The 25,764-nt window shown below is 41.3% G+C and overlaps 1 protein-coding gene across 4 annotated transcripts in view, besides 1 other annotated feature; it reads right to left on the bottom strand.

Moving 5' to 3' along the window:
* GPC6 (glypican 6) overlaps nucleotides 1–25,764 on the bottom strand; it is a 1,191,492-nt gene that overhangs the window by 44,311 nt on the left and 1,121,417 nt on the right. The gene's annotated exons all lie outside the window — the stretch shown is intronic.
* Nucleotides 19,096–19,694: an enhancer, noted in NCBI's record as "NANOG hESC enhancer chr13:94996270-94996868 (GRCh37/hg19 assembly coordinates)". NCBI's record gives its function as "activates a minimal SCP1, AML or CMV promoter by ChIP-STARR-seq in naive H9 embryonic stem cells {active_cell/tissue: H9 hESC(naive)}" and the evidence as "EXISTENCE:reporter gene assay evidence [ECO:0000049][PMID:30033119]".

Here is a 25,764-nt window from a genome sequence, read left to right as displayed (position 1 = left end):
AGCCATGTATGGCTGGTGGCTACCATATTGAGGGCATGGTCTAAGGTCCTTCCTAAGCACGTCAGGAGAGGGGGCCAGTTGCTACTGAGAGGGGTTGAGCATGGTTCCTAGGCTAGGGGTTGTTGTCTGAATGAACTAAAGGTGGGCTATTAGCTCAACATTAGAGAGTTCAGTATCTTCTTCTGAACTTTTTGAGTAGGTTGCATTTCAAATCAACAGAACTCATTTTTCTCTGACCTCACTCTCCTGCCCCTGCTCCATACCCCCAGTCAACTGTCCGAAGTACAGCAGGAAAGAACTGAATCGAAGTTAGGTTACAGTAGAAGTCTGTTTGAATCCAGCCTATGTCTAGAATTGCTTCAGTTTATATAAATGGGAACATGTTCCATCCAGCTTTGTGACAGCCATCAAAATTTTGCCTATGAACAGCTTTTTTTGGTTTGCATTTATTTATTTTTACTGAAGTTTAATAATCATCCAGAAAAGTAAACAAATCATATATCATCAGTTTGATGAATTTCTCACAAGATACTCATGCAATAAAACACCAGATATGTGGTGGTTTTAATAAAGGAAAATATTTTTTAAAGTTTTCGTTGAATCTAACGAGAACACATGGACACGGGAAGGGCAACATCACACACCAGGGCCTGTCGGGGGGTGGGGGCAAGGGGAAGGAGAGCATTAGGACAAATACGTAATGCATGTGGGGCTTAAAACGTAGATGATGGGCTGATAGGTGCAGCAAACCACCATGGCACATGTATACCTATGTACCAAACCTGCACGTTCTGCACATGTATCCCAGAACTTAAAGTAAAATAAAGTTTTTGTTGAATCTAATTCTTTTCACAAGATTTCATTCTCTTGAAAATTAATTTTCTCAAATCATGGATATGCAGGGATTAAAGATTACCAAAGAGCAGAGTTTATTATTGATTTACTGTAACTTTGAGATTATAAATTGCATCTAGGCTCTGGGCATGTACCTACATTTTAAAGGCAAAAGGCTATCAAAAAGTCGAACAGTGACTTGCTTAAAGCAGGCTGACGTCACCCTCTTTTCCTTCAAGATGGTCCAGCCTCGTCTCCAGGCATTTAGAGGCCACCTTCATTATAACCACCAGATGGCAGTGTTGTCCAGTCTTTGTCCACCTTTCACCCCCTTACCAGTCTTATCCCCGAGAATAAAACTGTAGATTGTTCCACTGCATATAAAACTGACAACCCTGTTATTTTAAACTTGAAACTGACAGGCTGTTATTTTAATGAGGTCTACCAGAGCCAAGGTTAACCAAAGCTTTATTTCCCTACAAAATGTTAAGGCCATAGTTCTAAAAGGGGGCTGTGAAATTTTATGTTATTGATACTTTTTCTGACTGTACAAGTTTTAAGATAGATATTTTCTGACAAGTAAAGCTACATGATGAATATAGACATATGTTTATGTATAATAGCCAAATTCTACATTACAATTGCTTCAAATTTCCCCCGATAGGTCCTTTTACTCTAAGTTAAACTCCCCCTGACACAAAATTCTTTGTATCCATTTCAGCCTATGTTGAAGCAAAAGTATGTATTTTTAGCACTTTGACTTTCCAGCTTAATGAGTCAAAGAAAAATTTAAAGCTTATTTCAGTCTCATTAATATTCCAAAATGAAATCAAGTGTAGTATTTAATTCTGTATTTCTATGAAATAAGCTTAGATCCAGAACAGTAAAACTTAGAAAGGATTTTTTATAATAGGTACTTCTACAATGTGTGATGGTTAATGGCATTACCATTTATTTCCTTTCCCTTGAAATGTCTTTTTATGTTGATCAAGGAAGGATTTAAAGTCAGTTACTAACTGTGCCAATATTAAAAACATTAGAAACCACCTTTCCCAAGTGATTTTGCTAACATTTTTTGCACCCTTTAATCTGTTCCAAACAACAATTTTAAACATTTAACCAACCTTCCTGTCTGAATTTATGAAGTACATCCTGCAAATACTCAATCCATTTCTACATTTACAAGATTTACTTGGAACGATTATTGTCACCATTGATTCTTGTTATTGGCCAAAGGCCTGTCCACAAAAGGACTTTATAAGCTCAGGAGGAGCCTGGATTTCCGAAAGTGGGCATTGAATAAATGATTTTCATGTTCAGTTATTATTAATTAGTGGCAATGCCCATTCACTTCAAGAAACATCTAATGCAAACCTACTGTGTATAAAGAACTGTGCCTGGAAGACAAAGTTTATAAAACCAAGTTAGAAACAGTCCCTGTCCTCAGGATCAGCTACGTAATTTGTAGAGCCCAGTGCAAAATGAAAATGCAGGGTTCCCTGTTTAAATATTATTAGGAATTTGAACGTGGCAACTACAGAGTGTCAGGTACTTCTAAACACTGGGCCTTGTGCAACTATGCAGGTAGTATCCCATGAAGCCTGCTTGTCTTCAAGAAGCTATGATCTAGTTGGGTTTTCTTGACCTGTACAACAAGGAGTGAGACAGGTGTTGATAAAAATTATGATAACAACAGTGATGGCTACCATACCTATTGGACACTCAGCAACCAAATCCATAATTGCCTCCAATTTGTAAAAAATGTTGAAAGGTAGCTGTTGATGTCTCAACTTTACAGATGCAATAACTGAGAATTGCATTTCTATGGTGACCTTTTTGTTTAGTGAGATGTCATCAAATCCTCACTAAGTGGCTGGCCCCATGCTACACCCATCACTCCTATCTTATTGTTTAATCACCACAACCTCACAAGAACAGTGAACACACTGAGGCAGTGAAGAGTGAAGTCTCTTGGCCTTGATCACATAGCACAAGTAGTAGGGCCTGGTTTTGAGCCTTGGCAGTGGGGGCCCAGAGCCTGCAGTCTCAAATTAACCATTACAACAGAACTGGTGAACTGGAGAGTGTGAATGCATTTGAAAAGCCCTGTGCCTATTGGTAGGTCTCACTCATTTCAAAAAAGATGGAAAATATATTTGGGGGGAGGAGGATAGCACTCTGGAAATCTTGGTACTCTTCCCTGAATTATCAGTCCATGCTAATGTTCTAGACCTTCTCCAACATCATTGTGATTCTAGCAGCCCTACAAACAATTTCCTAATTCTTGGCCTTTTTTTTAACGCCACTATGGTTTGAGTAGCCTTTCCTAATTTTCTAAACCATTTCTAACAATGCCTATGTCTAGAACCCTCCAAACAAATACAAGACTATACATTTTTCAAGATAACATTTTAAATCAGCCCATCTTCCTTTAGGAGGTCCAAAGACAGATGAATCAAATGCTATTTGCCCAATTATGCTTCTGGTTATGTATAACAGTGGATTATACTGTCCCTGAATCAATCAATCAATCAATCATCTATCATCGATCAGTCATCTATCATCTGTCTTAACTATCAGCGGAAATAATAATTTTCAGGTGGTGCTAAGAACATTCTAGATGCACAATACCATAAAACTTATGCCATTTCTCTAACAGGCAAGTGTGAAAAAATGAAAGTCCTAAAAACTCCTCCTGGCTTTAAAATGGAAAAAGAGTTCCCCTTCTGGATTTTTTATTCATAAAACAGCACAGACCAACTCCTCCCCTGGGTTTCCATGACAAAGGGAGAGTTTTCCCATAGGGCTGCATATGTAGGCTGGAAAGCCAGCCCTACATATTTAATGGTCTGTATCTAACAACATTGCATTAGAAATCCTCTCCTTGAGACTATTTCTCTTATGAAATGAAAAGTAGTAAAGAAAACAAAATTTTCACCACCCTGCCATAGGAACCCATGGGGACTTGAAAGGGCTTTGCATTTTCCTATTACATTGTACTTGGGAATAAGGTTGAGAAGCCAGACAGTAAATCTGATTCAACCAAATCCAAAGCGCTTGGAGGAATCACCTTTTTATTGCAGATAAGTATAAAAACAGTACTGGAAGCACACTGGAATCTGAAAGATCAAACGCCAGGGGCTTTCTGTTAATAGATTTGGTAGCTAAGCAGTGGTATTTAGAAAATAGCCTTTATCTCTTCAAAAAAAAAAAGGTCTCAGCAAAAGGAGCTCTGAATGTAAATAATTAGAATGATTTGTGTCAAGTTAGCCTCAATATTAGGTTGCTTTTCTATTACTTCTTTGACGAGCCTTATGTTTTATTCCTGATGCACTGGAAAGTCATAGTATAATGATCATGCTGGCATGTGAGGTTACACTGTGAGTCTTTCTGAACAGAATGGAACCCTAACCTCTCAATTTTTCCCCTAGATTAATAAATATAAAATTCACTGATATTATTTTTTGTATTTTTCTCATTAGAAGCTACTTCTGAATTTTTATACTATGCCATGGTGATCCATAAATGACAAATTCCAATATGCTTCATGCTCTTTATTATTCTTTTTAGTATAATTAAAGGAAAGTTAAACAGTCTTTTGAAAATAGTTTTCATTTTATTTCTTCAAATTATTTCCTATGTGGAAAACCGACCTTCTTTTTCAAGCCAAATCACAAATATTTAAAAAAGGCCTAGTGCATTTTCAATTTGCTTCTTTTGTCCTCAAAAAGGTAAGAGGGTTTCTCAATGTTTTTTCCAAAGATAACTGAAAGTGGGGTGTTATTTATCCAAGTGCCTAAATGAGATATACCAGTAAGTTCCCCTTCTCCATTATTTATATGGTCGAGAGGAAAGGACAAACTTCAGAGGAGCTAGAACTTTTGTCCAGAACTTGATTTTACTTTTTTTGGTCCAAAAAGGTGACTCCACAACAAGAAGAGACACTTAGAAATCTCTTTCGCTTGACATTTTAAAAACAGTTTTTTTCTGAAAACAAAGCCATTAGAACAGGCTTTCCTAAAACATGATGAAAAAGAGGATTTCAGGAAAAACATGCTGAGTATCCTAGAAAATCATGGAAACTCTGTAGTCATCTTTACAAGGAAAAGAGCTTTTCCCTGATCAAAAATGGTTAAGGCATAGGTGGTCCTGGGGTCACCATGCCAAGGTGTTCACACAATGTGCTCTCAGTACAGACACAGGTACTAGACCTGCAGTCTGGAGATTCGCACTCTTAACTTGTATCCCCAACTCATCCTGATACACGGGAAATCTGAAAACTCAGACCCATGGGGTTAAAGAGTAGACAGTGTGATCTCTCCAGGGCAAGCTCAACCCTGTGACTTCAACTTTGTTTTCTTTCTCTGAAAGGTCTTTTAATTTTCAGATTTAGTCTAGCTTTTTATATCCATCTTTTCACTTCTTCTAAGCCTATAGGTCAGGTTCTCATGACCAATGAATCTGATTGCAGTAATTAAAAAAAATCTGTCTTTATTTTCTTTACTTAGTTTTTTGAATATGTAGTACTGCTGCCATAACTTAATTCATGGTCCTTTTTCTTTTTTTCCTTTTTCTTTTTTTTTTTTTTTGACGGAGTCTTGCTCTGTCGCCTAGGCTGGAGTGCGGTGGCACTATCTCAGCTCACTGCAACCTCTGCTTCCGGGTTCAAGTGATTCTCCTGTCTCAGCCTCCTGAGTAGCTGGAACTACAGGTGCATGCCACCACACCAGGCTAATTTTTGTATTTTTAGTAGAGATGGGGTTTCACCATACTGGTCAGGCTGGTCTCGAACTCCTGATGTCAGGTAATTCACCCTCCTCGGCTTCCCAAAGTGCCATGGTCCTTTCTCTTAAAGACCAATGGCAATGGCTGTATCGCTGCATGTGTTCATGCATTCAGTCAACAAACATTCATTAAGGGTTTTCTCTGTGCAAGATACCGCATTAGGCATTGGGGCTACAAAGATGAAAAGACATCGGTTCTACTTTCAAGGAGCTTTCTCTTCTGTGGAGGTATAGACATAAAAACAGACAGTAGTACAACGTGATGTCAACATTGACAAGAACTGAGTTGAGAAGAATGAAAGCTGAGTGTAGAGTATGTATTTTCAAGAGCAGAAACCAGTGACCCAAAGTTAATTAAACTGAGATCAAATGGGAAAAGGTAAGGGCACTTACACCACAGTAAAGGGGATAGGGCATAACAGGTTAACTCAGGACCAGTGAAAATAGACACATGGTGGTGGTACCTTAGGGCTGTGACCACTTAATGAGAAAACCAATCAATTTCTAGGGAGGGTTCAAGGAGCGAGGGAGGCATTCTCAAGGCCTGGGTACCATCAGTTGGCCAAGAGTGCCGCAGAATTGTGTGTTCACGCTGTATCTTACAGGCGATGCATGCAGCTTCTGATGGATAAGTATTACCCGCGGAGCATCAGATGGTCCAGAGGTACAGAGTAGGGGTCCTGGGTCTGCCAAGTAGGGGCTCTAGGGAGAAGCTCCCACAGGGGTCTCTCTGTCTCTCTGAGCTGATCTTGAAGAGTGAGCTGGTGTTGGGGCTCCCAATCAGATGGAGCCCATGTTGAAAGGCTCATGTGGACCAAACCCACTAAGGGTTTGGAAAGTAGTTAGTTTGGTGCAACTGAAAGGCAAAGTGCATATGTTGGAGAGGCAGGAGTTGGGGCCAGAGAAGTGGGCCAGGAGATCCTACAGGGTTTTATAGTCTACTGTGAGCAGTTTAGTATTTTTTCTGGAGAATCATTGAAGGGTGCTAGAACAGCCCAGGTGGGGTCCAGAAGGATACACAGGTATGGCGCTGGGAAAGCCAGGTGGGGTGGGCAATGGTCCAGATTGATGACAGGGGACAGACGAGTGGTGTCTTGTTCACATCTATCAATCATGGATTCTTAACTGGCAACTCCATGACACATTTTCCATTTTAAATGCATTATTTCATTTTTACCTTTTCTTTTTTTGAGACAGGGTCTCACTCTGTTGTTCAGGCCAGAGTCCAGTGGTGCAATCCTAGCTCACTGCAGCTTTGAACTCCCGGGCTCAAACAACCCTCCCGCCTCAACCTTCCAAGTAGCTTGGATTACAGATGCATGCCACCATGCCCAGCTACATTTTTCATTTTAATTAGGCTCTACTTCTCACAGAGCCCTATTTCCCTTTCCACGTGCTCCCTGCCAGCTCAAGCCTTTGCTTATGTTACTTGCCAGAAGTAACTTCCTTCACCAGGAGTGATGGCTCTTCTCTTAGCCTATCCACAGCTGCTTCATCCTTTCAGGCAGATCATGCAGATAAAGTAAATTAGAGAAGCGAGCTGAGTTTGTTTGTTCATTCATCAAACATCTACTCTTTTTCAGGTACTCTCCTAGGTACCAGGGATGAAGTAGTGAACAAAAGAGGGCAAAAACCCCTTCCTTTATGGAGCCTACATTTGCATTACAAGATTCCAACAACAAATGAAATAAACCAGTAAAATATATAGCATTGTGGAAGAGAGTGTGGTGATTCCTCAAAGACCTAGAACCAGAAATGCCATTTGACTCAGCAATCCCATTACTGGGTATACACCCAAAGGAATATAAATCATCCGGTTATAAAGACACATGCACGCGTATGTTCATTACAGCACTATTTACAATAGCAAAGACATGGAATCAACCTAAATGCCCATCAAGGATAGACTGGATAAAGAAAATATGGTACATGTACAGCATGGAATACTATGCAGCCAGACAAAGGAACAAGATCATGTCCTTTGCAGGGACATGGATGGAGCTGCAGGGACATGTCCTTTGCAGGGACATGGATGGAGCTAACACAGGAACAGAAAACCAAACAGCATTTTCTCACTTATAAGTGGGAGCTGAACAATAAAAATACATGGACACATGGAGGGGAACAATACACACTGGGGCCTGTTGTGGGGGCAGGGGGAGGGAGAGCATCAGGATAAATAGCTAATGCATGCGGGGTTTAATACCTAGGTGATGGGTTCATAGGTGCAGCAAACCACTATGGCACACGTTTACCTATGTAACAAACCTGCATGTCCTGCGCATGTATCCCAGAACTTAAAATTAAGTTAAAAAAAGAATTATACAATAAAAATATACATGGCATGTGCTAAAGTGAAAACTAAAGTGGAGGGGGGGACTGGAAGCATGTGTGGAGGTGGATGCTCATGGAAGGCCTCACTGAGAAGGTAGCAACTGATAATGTAGGGAAGCAATTTCTGTTCTTTTCATAGACACATTTAGATTGATATTAATAGCATACAATTTCATCATTTCATTTCCTCATTCATTTTCACAAGAGATAGTCTCACACTTTTCCCTTGAAACATGACTCCCTCATGGACTACTTTTGCATTTTTACACTTTCAGTACGATGTGTATGGGGATTATTTTCTCTTCCAGAAGAAAGCAATAGTGCATGCATGAAAATAAAAGGTAACTGACACTTGGCCTTGGTTGGGAAGAAGACTGAGAGGGTGGAACATGGTGCAACCCTGGAGGACGATGGCCGAAGAAAGAGAAGAGCCACGGCCGGGCGCCGTGGCTCACCCCTGTAATCCCAGCACTTTGGGAGGCCGACGCGGGAGGATCATTTGAGGTCAGGAGTTTGAGACCAGCCTGACCAAATGGTGAAACCCTGTCTCTACTAAAAATACAAAAATTAGCCAGGTGTGGTGGTGGGTGCCTGTAATCCCAGCTACTTGGGGGGCTGAGGCAGGAGAATAGCTTCAATCTGGGAGGCAGAGGTTGGAGTGAGTTGAGAACATACCACTGGACTCCAGCCTGGGCAACAAGAGTGAGACTCTGTCTCAAAAAAAAAAAAAGAAGAGCCACTGGCCTTGGCATCATGCCACATGGACACAGGAGCCAGGAGAGGTAGAGTTTGTTTTACAATAGAAATATATGGATTTGAACATGGAATCTCCTGGTTTTAAAATTCTCTCTCCACTTCCATCCTTGTCTTCATCATGATCATCATCACCGTCATCCCCACCACCATCATCATCACAGCATGGGCTGAATGAAACACATCTGTATAGATAGATTAACACTGATGGCTGACAATTTGTAAGCTCTGCCTTGCAGCTTGGTTTAAGAGCAGTCTCAGGTCTGAAGCCTTCTCAGATAATGCCAATTCATCTTGCTGTCTGCATTCTTTTCATTTTGCACTCATTTGCATATCGATTCATTCAGCATTTGCCTAGAGCTTACCGAATAGCAGGGACTGTGCTGAGGGCATGCTCATGATGAGAACACACCTTCCAGAACCTTTAGTTGAATTCTTCGGCTATTTTTTGTGCTACACATAGCATTGGAAAGTGTTGGAGCTGGAAGGCACTCCTGAAAGTGAAATTTATTTTGATCATCCTATCACACAAATAAGCACTTTATTTTATCAGTATCTCATGCATTTGGTTTGTTTCTTGTTTCATTTGGATATAGATTATCTCTATAAAACATCTTGATGCCCCTGGGAAAGAATGGTATCTTGTTTTTTTTTTTGTATCTTTTTTGACAGTGAGCTGAGTGTTGAACACATGGTAGACACTCAATAGATATTCTTTCAGTTGACTGCTGGATTATGGAGAGAGCCCCATAATTTTCAGAAAAAATCTTACATAAAGACTGATGTGGAGTCCATCAGAACTTATTCATTCCTTGGAGAGCAGAAGTTTGACTAGATGAGCATGTGGGAAAAGAACAGAATATGTTATTCTGTACAAGATGCCTCCGAAGCTAAGCATCTGTAAGAGGAAATGTTCATTGTTGCAAAGAACCATGATGTTGTCTTTATCAAGCACATGTAGCCATGGGTGCAAATTCATTGTGCATGTTATTATATGACCACAGTGTTTGCACAATTAAAAAGGAAAGAAAGCATATTTTATGCTACTCTAGATTTGCATTTTTTTTTCTTCAGTATCACTGGATTCGTGGCATGAGTTGGATAAAGTTCTGAGTACCACTTTTTGGAAGAGTCAGCAAGCTGACACCTTGGTTATTGCTCTCTCTCCACAACTTCTTAATTATTGAAGCAAGAATGGCAGAGTTAAAGCTTTAGTTCCGTAATTTAATAAATACTAATCAACAGCCCAAGAAATTTAATTAGCTCTGTCAGGTGACTGGATGAAATTTTCAGCATTGAAGCTTTCCAGAATTTTAATTTTCAGTATGTGTGATCACTATTCCAATTTGAAGGGGTAAGTGCTATTTTACTGAATCTGAAATGGTGCCATTTAAAGAGGAATGTGTGTGTGTGTGTATATATATATATATGCTCCTCGCACACGACTTTCACTCTTTTTTCTCAGGAAAGTGTTAATTAGTGGAGAGGCCTCTTTACGCTGAACAAACAGGCTTTCTGCTGACCTAGATCCAGATTGTTTTGTTTTATTTTCTCTCCCAAATCCCCAAATGAGGTGCAGCATCTCATTTTCATGAGGAACTGGGGAGGAGAGAGGATAAAGCAATCTCATGTCACATCAAACACTCATGATTTGTTTAAACATTGAATTCTAAAAAAATTAGGTTTTGGATTAAATGATGAAATGGGTTTCCAGGCAGTAAATGCAAAGCCGCACTCATTTTTGCTTGTCGGTGGTCTTGAACTTCGATGCCATGCACAGTGTGTTCCCATTGCTGGGTGGTTCAGCAGAAGAAAGTCGCGCTCTGTGATGGAAGGTGACCCACAGGGGCAAACTCATGTCTCCCTCCCTTCCTTGTAAGTCGTATCTACTTCTTTTTCTCTCCTTAGCACTGAGGAAGGAAGGGAATCCCTCCCTGACACACGTTACTGTCAGTTATATCTCTTGGTGCACTGCAGAGACCACCTCTGCATGAGCTGTAAAGTGACTTTAGACCAAGAGAAAAGCACTTGTGTTTTCCTTAGCTAAAGGACATACAGTTCTCCAGATACTAAGCAGATTCCACCAGTAGCCACTTCTCTGTAGACATTTTTACATACAGGTGAATGCCCCAGTAGCTAAGCCACCTTGAAGGTTGCCCCACCATGGAAGAATAAAGACATAATTCTGGTCTATCTTGAGTTAGTGGGCTAGATCAGTTGGGTCTTAGAATGAAACTGACAGCACAAGTCAACTTGGGCAATAATTAAGGATAGTTCAATAAGGTACTTGATATACAGGTGACAGCAGAGTGTAGAAAAGCCATAAGGAATAGGGCAGAACCTGAGGTGAGTAACATGGAGCAAAGTTACCACCCTAAGGCCTGAAGGACTGAAGTATGGGGGAGGGAAAGAGCTCTGGACTAGCCAGCAGAGGGGAATTGTGACCTTCCGTTGAGGTGCTCAGCTAGTCTGAAGCAACCTCACAGTGAGGAAGCCCCGAGAATGAATGTTGGGGCCTCACTCTCCTCTAGGAGCTCCTACAGTGCCTCCCAATGGCCAAGGTTAACTGGAGTCAGCAGACATGGGGGCCCAGGGATGTAATTCATATCCTCAGCCCTCCAGCAATGGGCAGGCTGGAGAAGAGAGGAGAGTGGACTAGCAGGGGCACAGAGAAGACATGCAGCCCCATGAGGTTGTAGCATTTGGGGTTAAGGTGGGGTGAGCCTGGGATCCTGGAAGAGAGCCCAGTCCCACTCTCACCAGCCCTGTTCCCACACTGCCTTCTTCCTGCACTGACTTGAGTTGCTCCACCAGGCTCACGCAGACCTAAGACCTGGTTGGCCTCAGCTCACACCATTCTTTCTGTGCCTCACTGCTTTATACAGAGGCGAGCACACATCTCTTTCCAGGAGCTTCGTTAACACAGACAGAGAGAGGAGTGGGTAGAACATGTGAAAAAGCATTTCCAGGACTCTGGTTTCCTGCTTCTTCGTTCTATTTTCTTTTATTTTTTTTCTTTTTCTTTTTTTTTTTTTTTTTTTTGCCTTCTTCTCTCTCCTCTCCTTGCCCTTTGTTCTCTATTTCTAAGCCTTCCTGATTGGTGTGGTTTAATTACCAGTCTGCCCTTGCCTCCTTGAAGTCATCTGGAATGTCTCTGAGACATCACTGCTGACTCAAACCCATAAGGGAAATTCAGGAGTATATGCTCCGAGGATCCAATTCCCTTAAGTAACAGCCTCTTTCTGTTTCATGTCTAGTTAATTTGTTTAAATCCGAGACAGAAGGAGTTAGGGTGGGGGGTTAAGGTCATAGAAGGCAGATCAGATCCATGACATAGCCACAGATTTGCATTTCTCCAGAGCTGTGGGTAATTAGCAGATCTTCCCATCAAGGCAAAGGATGATTACTGCTCAGCTTAGTTTATGAGAATAAGGAAGTAGGCTTCTCAGAGAAGATTGTGGTTGAGTGAATCTGAGGTGCAATCACAGACCCCGATGTGTCATCTCATCTCTGTGGAGGCCTCCGTTATTCAAGTTCTTTCCTATTGCTTTGTTTTTCCACAAAAGGCTCTGGTACACTAGAAAACCAGTCTCTTTCAGAATCAGCATGGTGTAGGGGCAGCTTTATAAATTACTACCTCATGGGGACTCACTCTAGGCATACTTTGCTTTCAGAAATTCTCATTAGGCAGGAGAGTGTAGAGGGATCACCGTGGTTCTCTGTCCCCAGGTGGTGTTTTTTGTAAGCTTGGGGAAAAATTGCCACCGATATACACTTTTCCTCATGACTTTTTATTTTTACGAGGTTCCTTCTCCTCAGTTTCTTTTGGCTTTGACTGGATGCTGCTAACCTTTTTATTTAGGAATCTTTTCAGTATTGCTTTCAAGGCTCAGGAAGTTTAGTATAGCTGAGACTTTATTCCCCCAGGTCCTGGGTATTTTCTTACCCACTCATCTAAAATCTTCCCCTTCCCCTACCCAGTAATTAATTTTTGAAAATCAAAGTCTATAAACTTCAGAGATTCAGGGCAGCGTCATCCCTGGCCAACCTGAGAAAGCCAAGTTTGTTGGTGGAAGTCCTCTCCCAATGCCAATTTCCTTTACTGTGCCTCTCTTTCCCTCTCACCCCCTCATGTTCTACTGAGATATCAGATATTCCCACTGTGCTCTCTAGCTTCTCAGAACTGACTGGGAGGATGCCCTAATGCCATCTGTGTGCCCCAGACCTTCCTTTCCAGGGCCTCATCTTTCACAAAAGGGAATTTGCTTTTCATTCTGCACACAGCTGGAAGATGGATAGATTACTCTTTCCAGGGAACATATTTGCATATATAATATGATACATACACACATATTATGAGTATCATATTATATATATTCATATCTCATGTATTTATGTATGTATTTAACAATGCCTTCTGGAGATAATACTATACTCAAAAGAGAATTCTGTTTTCTCATTGTGGGTACCACAATGGGCAACCAAGAGAGATGTCTGGGGTCAGATGAGTCCCTTAAAATTGTCCTATATGCTGTGGCTGCTGCTTTGTATATTCCTATGACTAAGTCTGAAATTGAAATATTCTCCAGCACAGTAGTTTTGACCCTTGGGTGCATATTGGAATCATCTGAGCAGCTTTAAACATACTGATGCCTAAGTCTGGACCACAGAGACTCTGATGAAGTTAGTCCACCTGGGGTGCAGACTGAGCACTGAGATTTTTCGAAACTCTCCAAGTGATTCTAATATGTGACCAAGATTGAAAAACTCTGCCTTGGCAATTGGCTCTGACAGGAAGGACTTCCACTGACAGGGGCACGATGGGATGCAATCATCAGGCTGTATGAAGTTGGAGAGAGCCTATTTCAAAGATACCAAAGATGAAAGGTTTACACACACACTGCACACATAAACACACACACACACACAAAAGATATATATATATGTATATATATATATTTTTTCTTTGCACATCTTCCGAGAGTAGGATTTTGTGCTCAGCATTGAGGAATCAAAGAAGTACAATTCCATCATCCCAGTCAACAAACTCGAATTGTTGGGAACATCTTCCCTTGGATTTCGGGAAATTTTGTTCGTCACCGACTGGGTTAGATAAACATAGTCTTAACACCTAGTGGAGGTAAAGACAGATAGATACATAGTTAAGAATCACCCGAGACTGTGTGGCAAAGGGCATGTGACACAGTTACAAAGGAAATGCCATGGAAGTGGTTACTTATGGCAGAGGAAGCTTTCTTGGATGAGGTGGCTTTTGAGTTGAACCTTAAGGAACTGTTGCATTTTGACAGTTGGAGAATTAGGAGAGGACTTCTAGGTTGACCAAAGGCAAGCAGCCTTCAAAGAGCAGGGCCATTTGGAGACTAGCACATGTTTGCTCAGACACAGTAGAAATAGGGGATAGTGTGTGAGGATGGGAAGCTGGAAAAGTCAGTGGAGGATAGATTATAGAGACATTGAACTTGATGCTATGAAGGTGGGGTTTAATTCCACAGGCAATGTGGATCCATCTATCTTTGTAAGTCCATAAGTGCTGTGATGAGATGGATGTTTCTGGAGAATGATAACTTCAGGGTTGGTGTCAAAAAAAGTTGGAGATGAAGAAGCTGAAACCAAAAGGGATGAGTAGGGAGTAGGGAGACAAGTGCCATCACTGGAACCAGAGAGGATGGCCACATTTCTAGGACAGTGGCAAGAGAAATGGGAAAGAAGGGAGTGCTCATGTAGGAGAGGCATTTCTGTGGCGGCACAGATAGAAATTTATAACACAACAGATGGTTGTGGAAGGTAAGTTAGAAGGTGAAATTGGTGATGACCCTGCAGTTTCTACCTTGGGTGGTTGAGCCTCCAGAAGTGCACAGCTTTTAAGTTGTAGGTGACTGGGGCTTTTCGAGGTTCCACAGGTTTCAGACAAGCATCATGAAAACACGTCTGCTCCATTCATCACTATGTGCCTGGTCCATCGTAGGCACATGTATTTGTTAAAACAAACAGGTATTTGTAAAATAAATAAATGCAACTCTCTGAGAAGGGAGTACCTGAGACTGAACAAGTTTTCTGAGGAGGAAGATAGGGTGTTTCGTTTTTGCTCTGTTGAATTTGGATTCTAATAAGGCAGCAGGTGGTTGGAATTGCAAATCTGAGATTTAAGGGAAAGGCCAGGAGTGAACATGATGAGATTGTCCTCAAGGGGCTAAACATTTAATCAGGGATTCAAGATGTATGCATGAGAAAGTAGCTAAAGATAAAATTAGCAGTGTCAGAGGGTGGTCCAGCCACTGTGTGCTATAGGAGTTCAGAGGAGGAAGCATTTGTGATACAGAAAGCCCCATCCTAGACCACTTCAAGGAGTAGCTACTAAGGCAGGGTTTCTAAGGATGAATATGAAAATCTAGGAAGAAAGGGAAGAAATTCCAGGTTGAAGGAAGAATGTGAACAAAGATATAGGAACAGGAATACATAGGGGAGTTTCCTAGATCCTTCCCACTCGAGGAAACTAGCAGCATTGGCCTTATCTGGGAGTTTGTCAGAAAGGCAAAATCTCGGTCCTCACCTCAGGCCTCCTGAACTAGCACCTACATTTGAACAAGATCTTCAGGTGATTTGCAAAAACTCTGACTTTGGAGAAGTGCTGGTCTAGAAGATCACATTAGTTGTAGTGAAATACTTGTGTCACAAAGTATGTTATGCAGGGGAAGGTAGTGGGGACAGGTGAATGGCAAAAGGTCAATGCCATATACTGTGACATTACTCCATAAGAGTATATGTTCCATAAGAGGATATTGTACCATATACTCTTTTAGAAAGCTCATTTTGGTAGAAGTGTAGGAGAATCCTAAGGCCCTTATAGGCTAAAAGAAACCCATTCAACCAACCAGTCGGGCAGGGGAAGTTAGAAATTAGGACGATGTCTAACTCCAGGCTATATTTTATGATGCAGTAATGTCCTTCATGGCACTTGGCAATGACTGGAATCAGATGAACGGCTGCATAGAACCTGATCAACCTGGGCAGTGACGGGAGATAGATGCTGTCCGCATGCTTTTCGTAACATCTGCCTCTCGCACATCGGGTACCCACCCGCTTTGGTGAACAACTGAACCATTTAACGGGCCTCTTCAGGTTTCACCCAAACTATCCCAAACATGGTTGTTATGCAAGGAAGTAGCTTGATTAAATGTGGAGTATATTTCCACTGCAGTTTTTTGTGTAGCTTTATTTAAAAGAAGTCCTCATCCAAATCTCTACATTTATGTTTGATAACAAGGTACCTTTTCATCACTTTTGAATAAATCATAGTGAGTAAGGAAAACAAAAGGAAAGACCTTACTTCCAATGGCCTCATTCATATTCCTAAATTATTTTAAAAAATCATATTACATTATGTCAAATCAATTTCTGTCTATAGGTGATTTAAAAAATACTAGTGGATTCATTTTCATCTCAAAGAAAAATTCAATTTCTGTTTTAGTATGAAATTATTAGTCATGATATTTGGCTGGGTAACTTCTGAAAGGAAATTATGCTGACCAAAAATCTGTCTGTCAAGTATATCATACTCCATCAAAGCACATAGTCCTGAAAAGTTATATTTGAAAACTAGGGGAGCTTTCAGGACAGTTGTTTCATTTTGATCATCTTTCCTACAAGAAGTTGCAGAGGTTTTGGACTTTGTCACTTAATTTATTTCCAATCAAAAATCAGCAGGACTCCCAAAAGACCATTTTGGGTATGAGAAGAACATGATCTGGGTGGTTCAGAAGAACCATCCTGGATATGGGAAGAACAAGAGACCATGATCAACACTACAGTTCAGATAGCAGTGTTCAGGAACTCTCGAATCGTGCATCTGAAATGCTCAAATATAACATCACCCCCAGTTCCTTGAGCTCACCTCCAACGAACAAAATGACATGTAAACAAACTAGGTATTGAAGAAGAAAAAAGGAAAATTATACTCATGATGCTTCTTTCTGTTCACCCCTGTTAGTATTATGCTATGGGTGGAAAGGCTGCTGTGGAAAATAATGAACTAGATGAAAGTGTAGGATGTTGAGCAGTGAGAGACAAAGCTTACAGTCATCTCTGGAAGTGTCACTCTCTTTACTTCTTACTTGCCAGGTAAGCTCTCTTCATTTTTGTTTTCATGCTTAGTCTCATCCCTCCTTCACTCTCCCATCAAGACCTCCCCCTGTCTCCATGGTGTCCTACCTCCCACGCCAAAGGGTGACATAGGTATTGCAGTGAATTTTTTTTTTTTTTTTTTTGAGAGGAGTCTTGCTCTGTTGCCCGGGCCGGAGTGCAGTAGCATGATCTCGGCTCACTGCAACCTCCGCCTCCCAGGTTCAAGCAATTCCCTGCCTCAGCCTTCCGCATACCTGGGATTACAGGTGCCCGCCACTACGCCCAGCTATTTTTTTTGTATTTTTAGTAGAGACGGGTTTTATCATGTTGGCCAGGCTGGTCTCAAACTCCTGACCTTGTGATTCACCCACCTGGGCCTCCCAATGTGGTGGGATTAGAGGCGTGAGCCACCGTGCCCGGCCAGTGATTCTTGTTAGAAGTGAAACTTCAGAACATCCATCCACATGAGTGGAACATCATGAAGCAAGATGCTGGTTCCTATCAGAGGAATCTTACATAGCGCAGCATTCAACATGTAATGAGATTAAGAACTCACACTCCCCCCATCCTCAACAGTCTGCAAATTCATAAATGCCTGTTATGGGTTGAATTATGTTTCCTAAAACATTACCTGGAAGTCTTAATCCCAGGAACCTCAGTATGGAAGGTGAGAAATAACGTCTTTGCAGAGGTAATTAGTTAAGATGGGCTCATACCAGAATAAAGTGGGATCTTAACCCAATATGACTGGTGTCCTTATAAGACAAGACCACAGACACAGACATGCAGGGAAATGCCATGTGATGAGGAAGGCAGAGGCTCAAGTGCTACAGCTGCAAGCCAAGGATTTTCCAGGGTTGTTGGGAAATCCACTAGAAGCTTAGAGAAGCTTCTAGTTCTAGAAGTTTCACTAGAAGCTTAGAGAAGGCCTGAAATAGACTCTCCCCTAGATCCTTCAGGGGGCGCATGCTTCTGCTGCTACCTTAATTTCAGACGTCTAGGCTTCAGAACTGAGACAATACATTTCTCTTGTATTAAGCCACTCCGTTTGTGGTACTTTGTTGTAGCAATCCTAGGAAGCTACAGTGCTCTTTAGCAAAAATAATAATGATACCAACAATAACAACAACCTGTCGCATATGTCCAGGAGCCAGCCCTGACAGGTGGATGTTCTCAAGAGAGCTGAACAGCTTTCCTACACTGTACCTCTTGATTCCCAGAGCTGGGTCTGCCTGAGCCTCTAGCAAACTTAGACCCACGTGTTTTTCATTAAGCATGTAGATGGCACTATGCCCCTTTTAGAGAAGGATCGTAACTCTGCAATGGGCATGTTCTTTCATGTTCATGTTCTTAGATCTGAGGAGCCCTAAATAAAAGTAGATGAACAGGACATTCTCTGCCATGCACTAGTAACGATTTGGTAAATTGAATCATATTTTAAGTACTCAGAGGGAGCTTGCTATTTAAATTCTTTTGCAAAGTAAGTATGACTTTTTCTTTTCCCCCCCAAAATCAGATTTTTGGATCTCAGTTTTCTTAAAGTAGGGAGCACAGCCCTGTATTAGATACTATTACAGGGCAAGATATATATATAAAACTTGGTGTCAGGTTAAGAAAGACAGAAAAATATTGACCTGCAGGTGTCTTCTGAGACATTATAGTCTGACAAATTTGAAATAATTCGACTAAGTGCTTTTTGCTAGCAGATTTTAAATTGAGAAACAGGGTGAATTTTATTATCTGCTTCAAACGTTTGAGATTCTATAAATATAGACCAGTTAATAGACTTGTTTTATAAATGTAATAATAGTAGTGGTAATTTAAGAATATTTTATTTTCATATCCCAGTCCCACTTGACTGCTAGGAGCCCATATTTTTCCAAAAAAGGAAATTTCTTGGAATGTTCTGAGAGCTTAGGATAAAACAGGAACAACTTTAATTCAACAAAGAGAAAAGCCAAAGCAGAGGAATTTACAGTTAATTCATGGATTAATCCAGAATATATTGAATAAGTACCATGGGCTTCCACTAGTAGAATCTTTTCAAGTGTAATTTTTATCCTTATAGAGACAGAGTTGCCTATTAGTGACAAAGCATATCGACAAAGAAAGGGTTAAATAGTTGCAGATAGTGTCAGTGTCCAAATACTAAAAATAGTGTGCAAACAATAAATGCTCGGTGTTAGCGGGGGCTGGAGATACTCCTGGGAAGGGATTCGGTCTGTTGCTCTGATATTCTCTGCAGACATGTCCTTGACTCATTTCGGGGCAATGACCAGTCACGAAGAGTAAAATTATCAGTCATGAAGCTTCAGGATGCTTTTGCATGCACATATGTGCAAAAAAGCATTTATGAGTGCGGCAAACTCAAATTTCCAGATTCTGGGGAAAGAAAAGTCTGTGAATTGAAAATCATCCCTCCTGTGAGACTAAGACTGCTTCGTGGAGATTGTTGTTTCATTTCAAGCTCATGTGGAAGACTCCTTCCTTGGTTCCAAGGGGCTTTTCCTTCCTAATTCATTGTTAATTCAAACCTGAATGTTCACATTCTCCCCTTAACAAAACATTCTTTACATTTCTAAAGGTTCACACAGGGCAGGGCCTAGGAGGCATGGGAGGCATTTGCTTATGTGATAAATAAAATATCAAAATTTTCCATAAAGATAAGATCAATATTGTTGATTTTTTTCTTTTTGCCTCTGAGCCCATTTTAGTCCTGGGTTCACAAATTATTGGTTGTGAGAACACCGTCAATAAACATTAGCCCTGTGTTTAAAACATCCTTAATTCTTTTCTGAGGAGGAAAAGTTTTTAGTTAAAATAATAATGATGGGCCAGGCACAGTGACTCACACCTGTAATCCCAAAACTTTGGGAGGCTGAGGCGGGAGGCTCACTTGAGCCCAGGAGTTCGACACCAGCCTGGGCAACATAGTGAGACCTGGTCTCTACAAAAAATACAAAAATTAGCTGGGCCTGATGACACACGTCTGTAGTCCCAGGTACTCAGGAGGCTGAGGTGGGAGGATCACCTGAGCCTGGGGAAGTTGAGGCTGCAGTGAGCTGTGATTGCACCACTGAACTCCAGGCTGGGCCACAGAGCAAGATCCTGCCTCAAAAAAAAAGTTAACAACAATAACAAGTTTTAAACAAGCTCTCAAAGTTGATTCATTCCCTTATTCTTCAACAAATATATTTCCTGTGCCTCTGTTGTGTCCTGAGCCCCTTGTAACACATGCGAGACCACTTCATAAGCCTTAATAATCCTAGCCTTAATTTTCTATTTTCCCTATTTCATGCTCTTCGACTTTCATTTTCTTATTCCCAGTTTTGGTCCTGGAGGATGCTGACGTGAAAGGAACAGCATGAGTCTTATGCACTCAGTTCTTTTTCTGTCCCTGTATCTGGATTACCCTACTTAGTAAGCTAAACAACCTCGTGCTGATTCAGAGCCAAAGGAGGGATCAGCCCCATGAAATGAGAGGCCGTGTGCTTTTGTGCGGAGGCAAAGGCTGCGGGCTTCATTAGAGATGGCTGTGAAGGAATCCATGTAGCCGGTGTCACTTATGATGCAGCAGGCTCTCCTGGCAAAAGGAGAGTCATTTATAGTTCAGGGCTTCTCCTGGTGGGTTAAATACCGTAAATCCTTATGAGTAATGCCAGAGCCATAGAATCAATAAAAACCAAAATGACCTTCACTCAGCCTGCCCTCGAAGTGGATGATCCCGGAGTGATAGACACCTCGTTGCTACATGGGGGAAATGTAATCTGGCAAAAATGACAAGGATCACTTCTGTGTTACTTTATTCTCTGCCTTTCTCACTTTTAATCAGTTCTGGCAGGGCATGAGATTTTCAGATATGTTTTCCAGTTTAATTTGTGAAAAACCTCATACTTCAGGGTGACATTGGCCATCCAGTGAATCAGGAAATCCCTCAAATCTCTTTTGGGAGAGTGTCAGGCAAAATCAGCTGCAACCCTGGACAGCTGCTCTTTGAAGTATTGAACGGGGAGCTGGCGAGACAGTCTAGGACTGAGGATGGGCTTACGAGAGAGACAGGAGGGAGAAGCACAAGGGACCCCGAGGTGCAGGAGGCAACCTCCTGATAAAGTTCCCAACACTGAGGGCCAGAGAAGAAAGTGCACCAGGGAGTGACGGATGGAGAAAGAATTTCCCCGTGGGATTCCAGTTCTTAGCTTTGCGCACGTGTAGTTTCCCGGGGCTGCCAGGAAAGTCCCACAACGGGGTGACTTAAAACAACAGAAATGTATTCTCTCACACTTCTGGATGCCCGGAGTCTGAAGGTATTGACCAGGTTGGTTCTTTCTGGAGGTTCAGAGGGAGGATCTGTGCACTGCTCTCTCCTAACATCTGGTGGCTCCTGGGCATCCTTTGACCGACGGCTGCATCACTGCCATCTCTGCCTCTGTCTTTACACGGTGTTCTTCCTCTGTATGTGCCTCCTCTGGGTCTCCGTGTCCAAATTCCCTTCTTATTAGGAAGCCAGTCATTGGATTCAAGGCTCATCCTATTCCTATGCGACCTATTGGTTACATCTGCAAAGACCCTATTCTCAATTAAGGTCTCATTCGCAGGTAGTGGAAGTTAGGACTTCGACATATCTTTTTGGGGGACGCAATTCAACTCACAGTAGTGCTTTCTATTAAATAACCAAAAAGTATACTTTCAGCTACTGGAACGAAATAAATAGTAGTTCTTCAAAGTGCTTTATTATAGTGAGAAGAAGCATCTGGGAGGTTTATTTTAAAAGGCAGATGTTGATGCAGAATCCCTGTGGTGGCACACATGATCTGCATTTTACAGTATTTGAGTGATTCCAATGCAGTGATATGGGAACCCTACTTTGAGAAACACTGTTTTATGGTACACCTTTAACTCTCCCCGAATTATCAGTGTCTTATTACTAATTCCCAGATATTTCCTACATTACATAACTTATTTACCTTTGACTCAGTTTTACAATGTGAGGTATAAAATGATTTCTATTGTCAGTCCTAATGCATTATTAATATCATTCATTAATTGCTGGTCTGTGAACTGAAACCTTACTCGGGGAAATCATATGTCACTGTAATCCTTATCCATTTTCCAAATTGGTTTGAGATTTATTCAAGTTATGAAAGATATTTTCCTTTGAATTTTAAAAAATGAGCTGCCATTTTGTTTGAAAATATTAGACCAAATCCAATAAAAATTTAAGGTTCATCTTGATGATATATTCTTTAGCATAGTAACAATCTTTTTTTTTTTTTTTTTGAGACGGAGTTTTGCTTTTGTTGCCCAGGCTGGAGTGCAGTGGTGTGATCTCGTCTCACGGCAACCTCCACCTCCCCGGTTAAGCAATTCTCCTGCCTCAGCCTCCCAAGGAGCTGGGATTACAGGTGCACGCCACCACATCTGGCTAATTTTTTGTATTTTTAGTAGAGACAGGGTTTCACCATGTTGGCCAGGCTGGTCTCAAACTCCTGGCCTCAAGTGATCCGCCTGCTTTGGTATCCCAAAGTGCTGGGATTATAAGCGTGACCTACTGCACCCAGCCTATAGTAACAATCTTTAACATGATATTTACTGCATCATTAGGGAACAAGCTAAGAGGCAAAAGGAAACTACTACTAGCCTGAGTTGAGAAGGAGATTTCAAATAGGATTTTTTCATCTGCCCAATGAAGTTAATTACAGAACCTGTTAGTATAGAAGTGCCTAGAAGGAAGTCAATACTCAACAAATATTAGCTATTAGCTATTATTTTATCTTGTCGTTCAATAATGATAACCTGTGCATTTGGAAAGGATTTTCCCCTCATTTTACAAATTAATACCTAAGAAGCAAGAGGTAACAATAGAAGATAATGCCAGTGTTACCTTTCTTTCCTATTGCCTTCCAGATGTTTCTCAGTAATGAGGCCAGAGATACTAAAGACTATTTGAAGTACTAAATACTTTTAATATGATTTGGTAATGTTAGCAAGGGGCGCATATTAAAACCTTTTATACAGAAATGTATTAAATATTCCCGTGCAGCAAATATTTGCACACTGGATAATCCTTTTCTCATTTTTCATTGTAAACGAAAAGAAACGAGTGTTCTTTGTCTCCATTTATGAAACTGTTAATACTGTTAATATTTGTAATTGAAACTTAAGAATCTTATACAGTGGTTCCATTTAAGTACCATGACACTATTTAAAGTCTTATTTACGTAGAACCCTTCTTTGGCTTTATATACATAGTGACCTCTATAGTTACACATCATGTATACACATGTATCTATCACAATATATACATGCCTTTGGAGGTGTTCAGGATGAATGTAATTTTATAGCCTTTAAAGAAGAAGGATCTCCCCAAGGCCAAATAATTGTGTGATGCCTCCAGAATTTTGGTCTTTTAATTTGCACAAACAGAGCTGTGGGAATGGAATGATTTTAATGTAGCTCCATGGCTTTCCTTTGGGTTTTTTATTTTTTAATTTCTAATTCTTGATAATTGGTAGATTTTTTTTTTCTAAATTTTTGGGAATGTTCTTCAGAGGAGTTACATAGGTAACAAGCAACATCCACAGTTAGTGATGGATTATTTTCCAGTAATGCATGACTACTCCACAATTAAAATGATTTCCCCCAAATCCCAGTCCTGCTATTACCAGGAGTTTTAAGTTTCTCCCAGTTGCCGTTTAACCATTCTTTACCTTTTTGATACCTATAAGCAACTGAGTGGATACCACCTTATGGAGAAATGAGAATTTTCTCATGATTTATATCTTTAAGCAAACTTAGAAATTAGGCTGGTGCGCTGGCTCAAGCCTGTAATCCCAGCACTTTGGGAGGGTGAGGCGGGTGGATCACCTGAGATCGGGAGTTTGAGACCAGACTGACCAACACAGAGAAACAGTGTCTCTACTAAAAATACAAAATTAGCTGGGTGTGGTGGTGCATGCCTGTAATCCCAGCTACTGGGGAGGCTGAAGCAGGAGAATTGCTTGAACCCGGAAGTTGGAGGTTGAGGCAAGCCCAGATCGTGCCATTGCACTCCAGCCTGGGCAACAAGAGCAAAACTCTGTCTCAAAAAAAAAAAAAAAAAAAAAAAAAAAAAGGAAAGTATGCAGGTTGCAGACTTAAAAATTGTGCAGATTTTAGTTTCCATAGATCATTCCTCTTAGAAAATTTAGAGCCAAAGGACTACATCTCACTCCATTTCAGCTCACTTTTATTTTACTACTTTGACCTACAAAGATCATCCCCCTTCCACCCTTGATCTTTTCATGCATTCCTGTTCTCAGAGTTCTAACATAACAGTGACCCTAAGTTGCAAAATATTCACATTCAACTTATTTTCTCTTTAGCAGTAAATTTCCTGAGGCTGTATCCCTGACTATCACAGGCCCCGAGTGAGCAGTCAAAGAGATAAGTTACATCGCGTAACTTATGAATGACAGCGGGTGTTAGGAAGGGAGTGATTAGGAAAGAAAACTCCTAAAATAGGCCGGGTGCGATGGCTCACGCCTGTAATCCCAGCACTTTGGGAGGCGGAGGCAGGCAAGTTGCTGAGCTCAGGAGTTCAAGACCACCCTGGACAACATGGCAAAACTCTTGTCTCTATAAAAATATAAAAATTAGTTGGGTGTGGTGGCACATACCAGTAGTCTTAGCTACTTGTGGGGCTGAGGCCGGAGGACTGCTTGAGCCCAGGAGGTTGAGGCTGCACGGAGCTGTGTTTGCGCCACTTCACTCTAGCCTGGATGACAGAGCAAGACCCCGTCTCTTAAAAAAAAAAAAGGAAAACTCCTAAAATAACACTCCTTCACACTGAACCCTTGGTAATAGCCTTTAACTAACTGATTCAGGGTTTACCCAGCTAGGTCAATGGCTAGAGCACAATGCCTCATTCCAGACAGAGATCATGGCCTCACTCCCTTCTCCAGCTATGGGCAATGGCAAGATAGAAAGCTGACCAGCTCGATATTAGGGCCATTTCCAAAACATCAGCCATCTCCCACCATGACTCAGTCCCTAATTCAGCCTCATGTATGTGACAGAGAAACCAGTTCCTGCCTGGGCTCTCCTCGAGGCATTTTACATGGGTTTACTACAGACTTCTAAAATTCATGAAATTTCTTCTGGCCACTCGGACTCCATTTCCTCAACTGTAAAATTCAGGATTTTTATCTGGATTAAATGAATGAATATATTCATTCATGGCAGATGGTTAGGTCTCAGTAGAGGCTGGCCATCACCAGTACAGTTTTCTCAGAGCACACTTGCCCTCAATAGATTGCTGTCATGATGGAGCACTTGGGAAAAATGGACCATGGCTGGTCAGAAAACCTCAGGACCAAATATGGTGTAATTATTGAATCTGGTAGATGCAGTAACTCTCTGCAGGAGTGGCGTGAACTCAAGGATGTCACTTGGGGTAGAGGGAGGCAAGCAGAGGGAGCCAGGAGTTTCTGCTCTCTGCAGAGATGGTGCTGGCAAGCAGGATTGGTCATCTCTGCTCCTGAAGCAGTGGGTTCTCTGTCCCCATTTGCATTGGGTGCTGCTTGTGGGTTCCCCCAAACTTTCTGGTGTCAGCCACACCCAGAAGCAGATTAGGAATCTCTGGTAATTAGTAATCCCTGGAGATTACTAGGAATTGACTAATTAGTAATCCCTGGAAGAGGCTGTGATTATCTCCCACATCTGTGACCCAAAAGAGAGAATTTACCATCTAAGTGTGATTTCTATTTTTTAAAACGATTGTTGCTAAGGAAGAACCTCAATCACAATGCTCACGGAAAGAAATCCACTGCAATGCAGAGACAAGTGAAAGGATGCAGCAGCAATCACTAGGGCAGAAAGTCTTCTTAACGTGTGCGAATTGCCTTTGTCCAAACTTAGCGTGTGCCCTCGAAGGTCATGG

This window comes from Homo sapiens, chromosome 13 (assembly GCF_000001405.40).
Source record: "Homo sapiens chromosome 13, GRCh38.p14 Primary Assembly".
In the NCBI taxonomy this organism is placed as follows: Eukaryota; Metazoa; Chordata; class Mammalia; order Primates; family Hominidae; genus Homo; species Homo sapiens.
Note: the sequence above shows the minus strand (reverse complement) of the source record. Positions and strands in the feature narration are given on the sequence as shown.